The sequence below is a fragment of the Homo sapiens genome, chromosome 7 (assembly GCF_000001405.40).
Source record: "Homo sapiens chromosome 7, GRCh38.p14 Primary Assembly".
In the NCBI taxonomy this organism is placed as follows: domain Eukaryota; kingdom Metazoa; phylum Chordata; class Mammalia; order Primates; family Hominidae; genus Homo; species Homo sapiens.
In genome coordinates, this window is record NC_000007.14 from 115,983,205 (window position 1) to 116,000,567 (window position 17,363).

General features: G+C 36.9%; 1 protein-coding gene across 17 annotated transcripts in view; it reads right to left on the reverse strand.

Moving 5' to 3' along the window:
* Positions 1 to 17,363, reverse strand: part of TFEC (transcription factor EC) — a 224,745-nt gene that overhangs the window by 48,053 nt on the left and 159,329 nt on the right. For all 17 annotated transcript variants that reach the window (XR_007059992.1, XR_007059993.1, XM_011515970.2 and 14 more), the window contains one exon: positions 1,058 to 1,309. Coding sequence is in view for 15 of the 17 variants with exons in the window: in XM_011515970.2 (XP_011514272.1) it covers positions 1,058 to 1,309 (252 nt within the window). In the remaining 2 variants the exon portion in view is untranslated. The remainder of the gene's footprint in view (positions 1 to 1,057; positions 1,310 to 17,363) is intronic.

Genomic DNA, 17,363 nt, shown 5'->3' on the forward strand with positions numbered 1-17,363 from the left:
TGAGTAAATATACATGTAGGTATTTACATTCGGTTTTAGATTTCAAAAAGTCCCTTTTTTTATTGTTTTATTTTTTATTAACAATCTGCCACATCCTTATTTTTTTCTCTTTTCCAGGTTAACATAAAATTTGTTTAAAAAAATTCTCTATCATTTGGAATTTAAATAATGGGATTCTGAGCATTATCCTTTTGTGCCTGGAGGCTACAGGCTTAATAGATGGTAAGCATTGACCTGAAATCGGCAATAAACACCAGGAATGTAGATTGGGAGATTAAACCTGGGAGATCATAGGACCATAGCTTTATCAACAAATCTAATGGAAAAAAAGAAAAGAAAGCTCAGTTATTAATGTAGTTTTTTATACTGAAACATTAAAGGAAGTCTTTTTTCTAGTATCAGTGTTTCCCAGTTCTATTCATACTTCAACATTTTCTGAAGGTTCATTACAAGCAAGTCACAATAAATATAAACTCCATGAAGCTAAATACTCATTTATTTTGTATGATCAGCACCTCTAAATTTCGGTTATTTAGTAAATAGTAGCCAACTATTTATTAAAAATAGAATTGAATGTATAGAAAAGCAAAAGTTAAAAGATCCAGATATAATTTCATATAAGTGCAATAAAATTATTAGTCTTATTCTAATAGTCAATTTCTACAGCAAAAATTTACTGCTATTTAAGTAATTTCTGTCTGTTTTATGTTAATGGATATTTAAGACAATTTAACTACTGATAAATATTTCAACTAAATTTATCAGAAAACATTTACAATTAGGGCTAAATCTTCTAAACACATACCACTATTAGTGTCTATTTTAATTCACATTAATACATATTTGAAGTGCATATTAAACAAGAATTTTTATAATTTATTATGCATAGGAATTTATATGCATATAGTTAATAAATAGAGAATAATTAATTAAAAGCACATTTCTTTTGTTACATTTGCAATCAGAATGTTTACTGTAAAATGTTGACTTCAATTACTTTAATAGAGGTTTTTTCAAAAACTGATGATATATTTTTATAACCAGCCATTAGACATACATGCCATTGTGCATTGTCATCTTCTTTCCCAATAGCTAGTAACTTGGTGAGTGGGTTTTCTGTGAGGCCAGCATCACTGTCCAGAGTTGTGTGTGCATGCTGCACAAGAGGCCCACCACTTGGCACTGCAGGTTGTGACCATTTAAGAGTTGGATTGATGATCTGATGATCAAGGGTCATGAAAGAGTTTACTTTCTGTCTCTGGGCTTTCTGTAGCTGAGGCCTTGCAGAACTTTCCAGGTGTGCTGGGACCTACAAGATCAAAATTAAACAAATACAATGTGCAGCATCAGCTGTGAAATTAGAGTTCTCCTTTCCACAATTGCACTAGGATAATAAACACACTACACTATAGCATCTAGTTTCTCTCCAATCTATCGTCCATACTTCTGTCATAAGTTACATACAATTTTAATGGGTTATGATTATTAAGAAGTAATTTAAACTTTAATAAAATATTTTAAATGCTAACCAGTTTTTTTAAATGAGTAGCCCTAAAAATTAGGAATAAATATAAAAACCACAATATTTTTTGAGGGTCTAAAAAATGAGGGCCTAAAATAACGTAAGGAAAATACAGATGATTCACTATTACAAGTAATTTGTATATAACATGTATTACTTGGATTCCTTTATATTACACATAAATATTCTATGGAATATGATCAAAACTTTGTTCTTAAGAAAACTAAAAATTATAAGAGAGCAGGAACTAGAAATATATGTACAAAATATTAAGTGTGAAACTGTATGGGTAGTGAAAATCTAGATGATTTTTTTCTACTTTTCTGTACTTCCCTATTTCTATCCTGAGCCCAGTTTTATTTTTTTAATCTTATTTTTAAACCCTTTCATATTTTCACCTTATAAAAATGAGAAAGTGGTATAGTCATTATTATGACTTGACAGGAGCATTCAGAAAAAAATCTAACGATTGTCATGTGTCAGCTAAACAACTGTCCAGTCTGCCAAAATCCCTTTTTCAAAATATACCACATACTTTCAAAATTTTACACCTTCAGTCTAGTTATCATAGTTAATATTGTACTATCATTTGTGTAAGGACAACTTTAAGCATTTCAAATCTGCCCTTTAAAAGCCTGTGAACGTAGTTTTGCCTGGCAGTAGTCTTTATATTTACTGTGCTATTCTGTGGCTTCTAATACATTTTTCTCAAGTGGCCTATATATAAACCGATTTAATATTTCCCTCATGTTAAACAATAGTAAAGATTGCTGTACAGTGCTTATTTTTCCTTTTATTTCAGTTACACAAACTACTCCTTAAATCCCTTAACATGCATTAGCCCAGATAAATAGCCTCTACAAAGTATTTTGCATTTAAATTAGCTGGTTTGGGGTACAATATTGTAGTAGTTACTTTAGTTTAATTCTGTTATGCTGACATTTTTAGCATTATTTTAATTGTACTAGCATAAAATAATTTTTCAGTCATATAAAAAAGATTAAGATTGGTAATAAAGATTACACATATTACTAATTATATTGCTATGAGCTTTAAAGTTGTAAAATAACATTTCATTAAAATGCCAGTGGTAATTTTTTTAGGGTAGCTATTTATATTATCCTACTGTTCTAAATTAATTCTTTTTAATCTGTATACTTTTATGAAATATACATTATGAAGAACACTTTCAGTTTCACAAATCTGAATGATCTTTCACACTATGCAACTGAATGCCAAAGAACATTGTATACCTACAATTGGGAAATAGCTCTTGTTCTAAGAAGAATATGTTGAATCAGAATTTACAACATGCATTAACTAATTCATTTTTTACTTTTCATCCATTCATTCCAAAAGCCTCATTGAAGCACTTACTCTTGTGTTATATCAAGAATACAAAAGAAGTCACAGATGTGATCCCAAGGTTATAGGAGTTTACAATCTATTGGGAAGTGTTAATATCAACTATAGCAACAACAACAATGATAATAATATTAAGCAACAGATACTAGGCACTATGCTAAACAATTTACATATATTATCTTACTCCATTCTTGTTTTAACCTTAGGAGATAGGTACCATTAGTTAGTATCCCTATTGCACTATATAGATGAAGCCACTAAAATTTAGAGAGTTTAAATGGCATACCTATTACCATTCAGCTAGTGAGAGAAAGAAGTGGAATACAGAGCCTGTCTTCCTCAGCAGTACAATATCGGTTCCTGAGCAAATAACTGAAATGTTCACAATGCAAAGCAAAAGCTCCATAACACATGCAATGAAATTAAAAAGAAGTGGTTTTAAAAAAACATATTGAAAGAGAAAGTGATTTTAAGTCAGCTGTTGGAAGGAGAGATAGTACTACACAGCAGGCAAAGGAAAGAACATCTCAAATATTCTCAGCAAACTATTGCAAGGACAAAAAAATAGACACCACATGTTCTCACTCATAGGTGGGAACTGAACAATGAGAACACTTGGACACACAAGTGTGTGATGAAGGGGAACATCACACACCAGGGCCTGTTGTGGGGTGGGGGGAGGGGGGAGGGATAGCATTAGGAGAAATACCTAATGTAAATGACGAGTTAATGGGTGCAGCACACCAACATGGCACATGTATACATATGTAACAAACCTGCACGTTGTGCACATGTACCCTAGAACTTAAAGTATAATAAGTATATATAAAAAAACATAAAAAGAAAATCTCAAATAGAAAAGATCCAGATGAAACAAGACAAGAAGTTGTGAGACAGTCACAAATGTTACTCATGCAAAAGAAGTCACAGATACTTTTCTCAAAGCAAGAATACCATCTCCTCTTCAGGCCACTCTATACAGAGTCAGAATAAAATATAGTATGGGACTAACTCTAATTCTCCCGAAATTATTGATTATCTGTGAGGAATTACAAAAGTTTAGCAGGCAAGAGTGAGGACTGTGTTGGAAGCTATCTGTACAACATCTGTAAACTAAGCAGAAGAGTATAAAAACTTGGTGTAGCATGGAAAGATTCAATAAAATGTGATTATACTGTTCCCTAGAAAAAAAATCTCTGACTTTACTAACCATGAACTAATATCAGAACAACGGGATAACTCACTGTAAAACACCAGTTTAACTATGTACCACTAATTTTAAAATACCTTAAAAATTGCCTAGGTTATAAAGACATAAAATTATCTTGTGAATTTCTCTAACTGGATGTGCCAATATTTTGTGGGATAAAGTAAATGAAATTATAGGTTGCCATTGTTCATTTGTTCACTTATTCAAGACACAGTGTTTGAGTATCAAGCATGTGTGGGCACTAAGTGGTACACTGAAGGTAGAAGGCAGATTAACACAGTGTCTGCCCTCAAATAGTATACAGCATAGTCACAATCTAGACAGGGTAGTAAAAAATGAGTTCTTCATGGGCAAGGACTGTATTTATCTTGCTGGCTGCTCAACTGCTATGCTTCTTGTACATAGCCCAGAGAATGACAGACAGCAGGCACACAAAAATGTGTTTATATGTGCTCATATAAACACATATAAAATGTGTTTTATATATATATAAACATATAAACACATATAAAAATGAAAGAATGAGTCATTAGAGTAAATCTTGGGAATCCACTAGAAGACCATATAAACCATAATCAGGATATCAAAGTATTTGCTAGGAGGTCAGAGCAGCTACAGATTGTGATTTGTTTCATTGAATTCTCAAAGAGATAAGACCATCAAAATGAAGAGAAATTTTTTGGTTTTTAAAACAATAAGTAAATCATATCTTTAGAACTCAAAATTATGTTTCAATATTATCCTAACATGCTGCTATTGCAAATTAACCTATATAGAGAATATTTTCCTTTACCCAAAACCTTCCCACCACATTACTAACAGCTTATTTATAAGTTTCTTTTACATCCAGTACATCCTGCCTATCAAAAAAAATTACAAGACATACTAAAAGGCTAAAAAACATGGTTTGAAGAAGCAGAATAAGCATTATAACCAGACTCAGATATGGCATGGAAGTTAAAATTATCAGACCAGGATGAATTTTTTAAAAACTATGATTAATATGCTAATAGATAAAGTAGCCATCATGCAAGAGCAGATGGGCAATGCAAACAGAGTGATAGAAATTCCAAGAAAAAAAACAAAAAGGAATACAAAAATCAAAAACACTGTAGAGAAATGAAGAATGCTTTTGATGAGTTTATTAATACACTGAAGATGACTGAGAAAAGGATCTCTGAGATTAAGGATTTCACAACAAGAAACTACAGAACTGAAAAGCAAAAAGAAAAAGCTTAAAAACAAAAAAAGAAACAAAAAAGAATATCTAAGAACTGTGGGACAATGACAAAAGATGTAACATGTGCACAGTGGGAAAACCCAAGGGAAGAGAAAGGGAGAAAGAAACAGAAACAATATTTAAAGCAATAATGACTGAGAATTTCTTCAATTAATATAATGTACCAAACCACAGATCCAGGAAGCTCAGAGAACACCAAGCAGAACAAATGCCAAATGAAAACAAAACAAGAACAAAAAACAATCTATACCTGGGCATAATATATTTGAAGTACAGAAAATCAAAGATAAAGAAAAAAACTCTGGAAAAAAAATCTAGAAGAAAAAGCACCCTACCCATACAGAAGCAAAGATAAAAATTACATCTGACTCTTCCTTACAAACCATGCAAGCAAGAAGAGAGGAATTAAATACTTAAGGGATTGAGGGGGAAAAAACCCACCAACCTAGAATTCTGTAGGTTGTGAAATTTCCCTTAAAAGGTAAAGGAGAAATAAAGACTTTTGTAGACAAGCAAATATTGAGGAAATTTGTTTTCAGTAGCCCTGCCTTACAAGAAATGCTTTTAAAAATTCCTAGGAGGGAAAGAAAATAATGTAGGTCAAAAAGTCAGACCTACATAGAGAGACAAAGAGCATCAGAAACAGAATAAATTAAGGTAAAATAAAATTGCTTATTTTCTTATTCTTCATTGATCTACATTAATGTATTTAAAATAATAAGGCAATCATGGGAGGAGGTTCCAAGATGGCCAAATAGGAGCAGCTCCAGTCTACAACTCCCAGCGTGAGTGATGCAGAAGACAGGTGATTTCTGCATTTCCAACTGAGGTACCACGTTCATCTCACTGGGGCTTGTCAGACAGTGGGTGCAGCCCACGGAGTGTGAGCCAAAGAAGGGCGGGGCATCGCCTCACCCGGGAAGCATAAGGGGTCGGGGAATTCTCTTTCCTAGCCAAGGGAAGCCATGACAGACAGTACCTGGAAAATCAGGACACTACCACCCTAATACTGCGCTTTTCCAGAGGAGATTATATCCCATGCCTGGCTCAGAGGGTCCCATGCCCACGGAGCCTTGCTCACTGCTAGCACAGCAGTCTGAGATTGAACTGCAAGGCGGCAGCGAGGCTTGGGGAGGGCCGTCCACCATTACTGAGGCTTGACTAGGTAGTAAACAAAGCGGCCGGGAAGCTTGAACTTGATGGAGTGCACCACAGCTCAAGGAGGCCTGCCTGCCTCTGTAGACTCCACCTCTAGGGGCAGGGCATAACTGAACAAAAGGCAGCAGAAATGTCTGCAGACTTAAACGTCACTGTCTGACAGCTTTGAAGAGAGTAGTGGTTCTCCCAGCACGGAGTCTGAGATCTGAGAATGGACAGACTGCCTCTTCAAGTGGGTCCCTGACCCCCAAATAACCTAACTGGCAGGTACCTCCTAGTAGGGGCTGACTGACATCTCATACAGCCAGGTGCCCCTCTGAGATAAAGCTTCCAGAGGAAGGATCAGGCAGCAAAATTTGCCATTCTGCAATATTTGCTGTTCTGCAGCCTCTGCTGGTGATACCAAGGAAAACGGTGTCTGGAGTGGACCTCCAGCAAACTCCAACAGACCTGCAGCTGAGGGTTCTGACTATTAGAAGGAAAACTAACAAAGAGAAAGGACATCCACACCAAAACCCCATCTGTATGCCACCATCATCAAAGACAAAAGGTAGATGAATCCACAAAGATCGGGAGAAACCAAAGCAGAAAAGCTGAAAATTCTAAAATCAGAGCGCTTCTTCTCCACCAAAGGAGCGCGGCTCCTCACCAGCAACGGAACAAACCTGGATGGAGAATGACTTTGAGGAGTTGAGAGAAGAAGGCTTCAGAAGATCGGTAATAACAAACTTCCCTGAGCTAAAGGAGGATGTTCGAACTCATCACAAAATAGCTAAAAACCTTGAAAAGAGATTAGACGAATGGCTAGCTAGAATGAACAGCATAGAGAAGACCTTGAATGACCTGATGGAGCTGAAAACCATGGCACGAGAATTACGTGATGAATGCACAAGCTTCAGTAGCTGATTTGATCAAGTGGAAGAAAGGGTATCAGTGATTGAAGATCAAAGGAATGAAATGAAATGAGAAGAGAAGTTTAGAAAAAAGAGTAAAAAGAAATGAACAAAGCCATCAAGAAATATGGGACTATGTAAAAAGACCAAATCTACATCTGATTGGTGTACCTGAAAGTGACGGGGAGAATGGAACCAAGTTGGAAAACACTCTTCAGGATATCATCCAGGAGAACTTCCCCAATCTAGCAAGGCAGGCCAACATTCAAATTCAGGAAATGCAGAGAACGCCACAAAGATACTCCTCGAGAAGAGCAACTCTAAGACACATAATTGTGAGATTCGCCAAAGTTGAAATGAAGGAAAAAATGTTAAAGGGAGCCAGAGAGAAAGGTCAGGTTACCCACAAAGGGAAGCCCATCAGACTAACAGCTGATCTCTCCACAGAAACTCTACAAGCTAGAAGAGAGGGGGGCCAGTACTCAAAATTCATAAAGAAAAGAATTTTCAACCCAGAATTTCATATCCAGCCAAACTAAGCTTCATAAAGGAGAAATAAAATCCTTTACAGACAAGCAAATGCTGAAGATTTTGTCACCACCAGGTCTGCTTTACAAGAGCTCCTGAAGGAAGCACTAAACATGGAAAGGAACAACTAGTACAAGCCACTGCAAGAACATGCCAAATTGTAAAGACCATCGATGCTAGGAAGAAACTGCATCAACTAACGAGCAAAATAACCAGCTAACATCATAATGACAGGATCAAATTCACACATAACAATATTAACCTTAAATGTAAATGGGCTAAATGCTCCCATTAAAAGACACAGACTGGCAAATTGGATAAAGAGTCAAGAGCCATCAGTGTGCTGTATTCAGGAGACCCATCTCATGTGTAGAGACACACATAGGCTCAAAATAAAGGAATGGAGGAAGATCTACCAAGCAAATGGAAAACAAAAAAAAGGAGGGGTTGCAATCCTAGTCTCTGATAAACAGACTTTAAACCAACAAAGATCAAAAGAGACAAAGAAGGCCATTACATAATGGTAAAGGGATCAATTTAACAAGAAGAGCTAACTAACCTAAATATATATGCACCCAATACAAGAGCACCCAGATTCATAAAGCAAAGAGACTTAGACTCCCACACAATAATAATGGGAGACTTTAACACCCCACTGTCAACATTAGACAGATCAACAAGACAGAAAGTTAACAAGGATATCCAGGAATTGAACTCAGCTCTGCATCAAGTGGACCTAACAGATATCTACAGAACTCTCCACCTTAAATCAACAGAATATACATTCTTCTCAGCACCACATTGCCCTTATTCCAAAATTGACCACACATTAGAAGTAAAGCACTCCTCAGCAAATGTAAAAGAACAGAAAATATAACAAACTGTCTCTCAGACCACAGTGCAATCAAACTAGAACTCAAGATTAAGAAACTCACTCAAAACCACACAACTACATGGAAACTGAACAACCTGCTCCTGAATGACTACTGGGTACACGACGAAATGAAGGCAGAAATAAAGATGTTCTTTGAAACCAATGAGAACAAAGACACAACATACCAGAATCTCTGGGACACATTTAAAGCAGTGTGTAGAGGGAAATTTATAGCACTAAATGCCCACAAGAGAGAGCAGGAAAGATCTAAAATTGACACGCTAACATCACAATTAAAAGAACTAGAGAAGCAAGAGAAAACACATTCAAAAGCTAGCAGAAGGCAAGAAATAACTAAGATCAGAGCAGAACTGAAGGAAATAGAGACACCAAAAGCCCTTCAAAAAATCAATGAATCCAGGAGCTGGTGTTTCGAAAAGATCAACAAAATTGATAGACCGCTAGCAAGACTGTTACAGAAGAAAAGACAGAAGAATCAAATAGATGCAATAAAAAATAATAAAGGGGGTGGCACCACTGATCCCACAGAAATACAAACTACCATCAGAGAATACTATAAAAACTATGCAAATAAACTAGAAAATCTAGAAGAAATGGATAAATTCCTGGATACATACAACCTCCCAAGACTAAACCAGGAAGAAGTTGAATCCCTGAATAGGCCAATAACAGGCTCTGAAATTGAGGCAATAATTAATAGCCTACCAACCAAAAAAAGTCCAGGACCAGATGGATTCACAGCCGAATTCTACCAGAGGTACAAAGAGGAGCTGGTACCATTCCTTCTGAAACTATTCCAATCAATAGAAAAAGAGGGAATCCTCTCTAACTCATTTTATGAGGCCAGCATCATCCTGATACCAAAGCCTGGCAGAGATACAACAAAAAAAGAGAATTTTAGATCAATATCCCTGATTAACATTGATGCAAAAATCCTCAGTAAAATACTGGCAAACCGAATCCAGCAGCACATTAAAAAGCTTATCCACCACGATCAAGTGGGCTTCAACCCTGGGATGCAAGGCTGGTTCAACATACGCAAAAATCAATAAACGTAATTCATCATATAAACAGAACCAAAGACAAAAACCACATGATTATCTCAACAGATGCAGAAAAGGCCTTTCACAAAATTCAATAGCCCTTCATGCTAAAAACTCTCAATAAACTAGGTATTGATGGGACGTATCTCAAAATAATAAGAGCTATTTATGACAAACCCACAGCCAATATCATACTGAATGGGAAAAAACTAGAAGCATTCCCTTTGAAAACTGGCACAAGACAGAGATGCCCTCTATCACCACTCCTATTCAACATAGTGTTGGAAGTTCTGGCCAGGACAAACAGGCAGGAGAAAGAAATAAAGGGTATTCAATTAGGAAAAGAGGAAGTCAAATTGTCCCTGTTTGCAGATGACATGATTGTATATTTAGAAAACCCCATCATCTCAGCCCAAAATCTCCTTAAGCTGATAAGCAACTTCAGCAAAGTCTCAGGATATAAAATCAATGTACAAAAATCACAAGCATTCTTATAAACCAATAACAGACAAACAGAGAGCCAAACCATGAGTGAACTCCCATTCACAATTGCTTCAAAGAGAATAAAATACCTAGGAATCCAACTTACAAGTGTTGCGAAGGACCTCTTCAAGGAGAACTACAAACCACTGCTCCATGAAATAAAAGAGGACACAAACAAATGGAAGAATTCCATGCTCGTGGATAGGAAGAATCAATATCGTGAAAATGGCCATACTGCCCAAGGTAATTTATAGATTCAATACCATCCCCATCAAGCTACCAATGATTTTCTTCACAGAATTGCAAAAAACTACTTTAAAATTCATATGGAACCAGAAAAGAGCCCACACTGCCAAGAAAATCCTAAGCCAAAAGAACAAAGCTGGAGGCATTACGCTATCTGACTTCAAACTATACTACAAGGCTACAGTAACCAAAACAGCATGGTACTGGTACCAAAACAGAGATATAGACCTATGGAAGAGAACAGAGCCCTCAGAAATAATACCACACATCTACAACCATCTGATCTTTGACAAAACTGACAAAAACCAGAAATGGGGGAAGGATTCCCTATTTAATAAATGGTGCTGGGAAACCTGGCTAGCCATATGTAGAAAGCTGAAACTGGATCCCTTCCTTACACCTTATACAAAAATTAATTCAAGATGGATTAAAGACTTAAATGTTAGACCTAAAACCATAAAAACCCTAGAAGAAAACCTAGGCAATACCATTCAGGACATAGGCATGGGCAAGGACTTCATGACTAAAACACCAAAAGCAATGGCAACAAAAGCCAAAATTGACAAATGGGATCTAATTAAACTAAAGAGCTTCCGCACAGCAATGGAAACTACCATCAGAGTGAACAGGCAACCTACAGAATGGGAGAAAATTTTTACAACCTATCCCTCTGACAAAGGGCTAATATCTAGAATCTACAAAGAACTCACACAAATTTACAAGAAAAAATCAAACAACCCCATCAAAAAGTGGGCAAAGGATATGAACAGACACTTCTCAAAACAAGACATTTATGCAGCCAACAGCAGACTCATCATCACTGGCCATCAGAGAAATGCAAATCAAAACCATAATGAGATACCATCTCACACCAGTTAGAATGGCAATCATTTAAAAAGTCAGGAAACGACAGGTGCTGGAGAGGATGTGGAGAAATAGGAACACTTTTACACTGTTGGTGGGACTGTAAACTAGTTCAACCATTGTGGAAGACAGGGTGGTGATTCCTCAAGGATCTAGAACTAGAAATACCATTTGACCCAGCCATCCCATTGCTGGGTATATACCCAAAGGATTATAAATCATGCCGCTATAAAGACACATGCACACGTATGTTTATTGCGGCACTATTCACAATAGCAAAGACCTGGAACCAACCCAAATGTCCATCAATGATAGACTGGATTAAGAAAATGTGGCACATATCCACCATGGAATATTATGCAGCCATAAAAAAGGATGAGTTCATGTCCTTTGTAGGGACATGGATGAAGCTGGAAACCATCATTCTGAGCAAACTATTTCAAGGACAGAAAACCAAACACCACATGTTCTCACTCATAAGTGGGAATTGAACAATGAGAACACTTGGACACAGGGTGGGGAACATCACACACTGGGGCCTGTCATGGGGTGGGGAGGGGGGAGGGATAGCATTAGGAGATATACCTAATGTAAATGATGAGTTAATGGGTGCCGCACACCAACATGGCACATGTATACATATGTAACAAACCTGCACATTGTGCACATGTACCCTAGAACTTAAAGTATATTAAAAAAAACAAAAATAAAATAATAAGGCATTTGACTATGTATGCATATATATATACACACATATATATATGCTTACGTATGCTTATATAATAATTAAAATTAATGACAGCAATTATACAAGTGGCAAGAGGGAGAAATTAGGAATATTATTTGGTTGTTACAAGATATTTCCCAGAGGAGATGGGGAAGATGGCCGAATAGAAACCTCCAGCAATCATCCTCCATGCAGGAACAACAAATTGAACAACTAGCCACACATAAAAACACCTTCATAATAACCAAAAATCAGGTGAGCAATCACAGTATCTTGTTTTAACTTCATATCACTGAGAGAGACACTGGAGAAGGTAGGAAAGACAGTCTTGAATTGCCAACATCTTCCCTCCCCCAACCCTGACACGGCTCGGAGAGAGTATCTGTGCTCTTGGGGGAGAAAGAGTGCAGCGACTGTGGAACTTTGCTTTGGAACTCAGTGCTGTCCTGACACAGTGGAAAGCAACATAGGGCAGAACACAGCTGGCACCCGCAGAGGGAGCATTTAGACCAGCCCTACCCGGAGGGGAATTGTCCATTCCAGTGGTCAGAAGTTTAGTTCTTGCAAGTCTCACCACCATGGGTAAAGCTCTCTGGGTTTCTGAATAAACTTGAAAGGCAGTTTAGGCCACAAAATCTGCAATTCCCAAGCAAGTCTTGGTGCTGTGCTTAGCTTACAGCCAGTGGACTTGGGGAACGTAAGACCTAGTGAGATATCAGCTGGGGTGGCAAAGGGAGTGCTTGTGCCACCTATCCCCCAACCTAAGGCAGCACAGCTCATAGCACCAGGAAAGACTCTTTCCTTATGCTTGAGGAGGGGAAGGGAAAGAATAAGGAAGACTTTGTCTTGCAACATGGGTACCAGCTCAGCCACAATAGGATAAGAACAAGGCAGAGTCTCGAGGCCCTCATTGCAGAGCCTAGCTCATGGCCATTTCTAGATACATCCTGGGCCAGAAGGGAACCTACTTCATAGCAGGGAAGGATCCAGTCATGGCAGGATCTTTAAAATGCTAATTAGACCCTGGGCCCTGAATAATCAGCAGTACTACCCAGGCAGTACTTGTGATGGGCCTTGAGTGAGACTCAGAGACATGCTGGCTTAGATGTGATCCAACGTATTCCCAGCTATGGTGGGTTTGGGGAGAGACTCCTTCTGCTTGAGAAAAGGAGAGGGAAGAGTAAAGAAGACTTTGTCTTGCATCTTAAGTAAAAGCTAGCCACACTGGGGTAGAGCACCCAGTGAGCTCTTAGGGCCCTCAATTCCAGAACTTGGCTATCAGACAGCATTGCTGGACATTCTCTTGGCCAGAGGGAAGCCCACTGCACTAAAGGGAGAGTCCTGGAGCTGGCAGCATTCACCAAAAGCTGACTGAAGAGACCTTGGGTCTTGAGTGAACATTGGGAGTAACCAACCAGATAGTACTCACCACAGGCCTGGGGCAGTAATAGCTTTGGGAGAGTCCGTAGCTTGTGAAAAGGAAAAGAAAGAGTGGGAAGGACTTTGTCTTGTGGATTGGGTGCCAGCTCAGCTGCAGTAGAAAAGAGAACCAGGTAGATTCCTAAGGTTTTTAAATACAGGCCCTGGCTCCCAGCTGGTATCTCTGGACTAGCATGGGGAGGGGGATCTCATCACCCTGAGGGTGAGGACACAAGTCTGGCTGACTTTACTACCTGCTGATTGTAGGGCATTAGGCCCTTGAGAGAAACATAAACAGTAATCAAGCAATGGTTACCACGGGCCTTGGGCAAAACCCAGTGCTGTGCTGGCTTCAGTTCTGACACAGCATAGTCCCATTGGAGGTGGCCAGAGGGGTGCTTGTGTCACCCCTCCCCAAGATCCAGGTAGCTCAGCACACAGAGAAAGACTCCATTTGATTGAGAGAAGGTAAGGGAAAAGAACAAGAGTCCGTGCCAGACAACACAGAGAATTCTTCTGGATCTTATCTAAGACCGCCAAGGTGGTACATGTATGAGTCTGCAAGAGCCACAGCACTACTAATCTTTAGCTGCCTCCTAATGCAGATACCACTGCAGTGACCAAGAACTTAGATTACAACATCCAAGTCCCTTTAAATACCTGGAATGCCTTCCCAAGACGGATGGGTACAAACCAGCCCGGACTGAAAAGAATAAAATGAATACCTAACTCTTCACTGCCCAGACACCAACAAACATCCACAAGCATAAAAACCTTACAGGAAAATATGACCTCACCAAATAAACTAAACAAGTCACCAGGAACAAATCTCAGAGAAACAGAGATATATGACCTTTCAGGCAAAGAATTCAAACTAGATGTTTTGAAGAAATTCAGTGAAATTCAAGACAAAATGGAGAAGCAATTCAGAATATTATCATGTAAATTTAACAAAGAGATTGAAATAATTTTAAGCAAAAATTCTGGAGGTTAAAAGTTCAATAGGCATGCTGAAGAACGCATCAGAGTCTCTTACCAGCAGAATTCATCAAGCAGAAGAAAGAATTATTGAACTTGAAGACAGAATATTTGAAAATACATGGTCAGAGGGGACAAAAGGAAAAAGAATAAAAAAGAATTAAGCATGCCTACAGGATCCACAAAATAACCTCCAAAGGGAAAATCTAAGAGTTATTGGCCTTAAAGAGGAGGTAGAGGAAGAGAGAGGGATAGAAAATTTATTCAAATGGGTAATAACACAGAACTTCCCAAGCCTAGAGAAAGATATCAATATTCAAGCACAAGAAGGTACTAAAACACCAAATAGATCTAACTCAAAGAAGGCTACCTTAAGACATTTAATAATCAAACACCAAAGGTCAAGAATAAAGAAAGGATCCTAAAATGAGAAAAACAAAATTTTATGCAGTCAGTGGTAAGTTGTCATCAACTTACCTATTTAAACAATAGGTTATAAGATGGTATTTGCAAGCCTCGTGGTAACTCAAATGAAAAAACATTCAGCAGATACACAAAAAAGAAAAAGCAAGAAATTAAAACATACCACCAGAGAAAACTACCTTCTCTAAAAAGAAGACAGAAATAAAGGAAAGAAGGAAGAGAAGACCACATAACAAACAGAAAAAAATAACAAAATGCAAGAGTACTTTCTTCCTTATTAATAATAACATTGAATGTAAATGGACTAAACTCTCCAATCAAAAAAACATAGAATGGCTGAATGGATAAGTAAAAAAAAACACACAACAATCTGTAGTCTATAAGAAACACACATTAGCTATAAAGATACACATAGAATGAAAAGAAAGGGATTGAAAAAGATATTCCATGCAAATGGAAACCAAAAATAGCAACAGTCATTATACTAATAATAGATAAAGTAGATTTCAAGAAAAAAGGTGTAAGAAGAGACAAAGAAGGTCATTATATAATGATAACGTAGCCAATCAGTAAGAAGATATAACAATTATAAATATATATGTGCCCCAAAACTGGAGCATCCAGATATATAAAACAAATATTATTAGCGCTAAAGAGAGAGAGAGCAACCCCAATGCAATAACAGCTAGAAACTTCAATACCCCACTTTCAGCATTGAAGAGATCATCCACACAGAAAATCAATAAAGAAACATCAGACTTAATCTGAACTATAAACCAAATAAACCTAATAGATATTTACAGAACATTTCATTCAATGGCTACAATATACACATTCTTCTTCTCAACACATTGATCATTCTCAAGGAGAGACCACATAACAAGTCTTAAAAATTCACATAAGTCTTAAAAATTTTAAAAATATTGATATTATGTCAAGTATTTTCTCTGACCACAATGAAATAAAACTACAAATCAACAACAAAAGGAATCTTGGAAACTACACAAACACATGGAAATATAAAAATATGCTCCTGAATGACCAGTGGGCAAATTAAGAAATTAAGAAGGAAATTTAAAAATTTCTTGAAACAAATGATAATGAAAACACAATATACCAAAATGTATGAAATACAGTAAAAGCAGTACTAAGAGGAAAGTTTATGGGTATAAACACCTAAATGAGAAAAGTAGAAACATTTCAAATAAACAACCTAACAATGCATCTTAAAGAAATAGAAAAGCAAGAGAAAGTAAACCCCAAATTAGTGCAAGATCAGAACAGAAATAAATAAAGTTTAAATGAAAGAAACCATACAAAAGATCAACAAAATGAAAAGTTGCTTTCTTGAAAAGATAAACAAAATCAACAAACCTTTATCCAGGCTAACTAAGAAAAAAGAAGAGAAGACACAAATAAATGAAATGAGAGATGAAAAAGGAGACATTACAACTGATATCACAGACATTCAAATGATTATTAGGGCTACTGTGATATGAGCAAGTATATGCCAATAAATTGGAAACATCTAGGAGAAATGGACAAATTCCTAGACATGTACAATGTACCAAGATTGAACCACGAAGAAATCCAAAATCTGAACAAATAATAAGTAGCAAGATCAAAGCCATAATAAGTCTCCTAGCAAAAAAAAAAAAAAAGGCAATGGCTTCACTGCTTAATTTTACCAAACATTTAAAGAATTAATACCAATACTACTCAAACTTTCTGAAAAATAAAGGAGGAGGGAAAACTTCTAAACCCATTCTACAAGGTCAGTATTACTCTGATCTCAAAACCAGACAAAGACATATCAATAAAAGAAAACTACAGGCCACTATCCCCAATGAACATTGATGCAAAAATCCTCAACAAAATACTATCAAACTAAATTCAACAACACATTAAAAATTCATCATGACCAAATGGGATTTATCCCAAGGATGTAAAAAGATGGTCAGACATATGCAAAATAATGTGATACATCATATCAACAGAATGAAGAACAAAGACCACATGATCATTTCAATTGATATGGAAAAAAGCATTTGATAATATTGAACACTTCAAGATAAAAACCCTCAAAAAACTGAATATAGAAGCAACTCACCTCAATACAATAAAAGCCACATAGGACAGACCCACAGATAATATACTGAGCAGGAAAAAAACTGAAATCCTTTCCTCTAAGATCTGGAACACAAGGTGCCTATTATTCAACATGGTACTGGAAGTCCTAGCTAGAGCAATCAGACAAGAGAAAGAAATAAATGGCATCCAAATTGGAAAGGAAGAAGTAAATTTATTTGTGTTTGCAGATTAAATGATCCTACATTTGGAAAAACCTAAAGACTCCACACAAAAAAGCT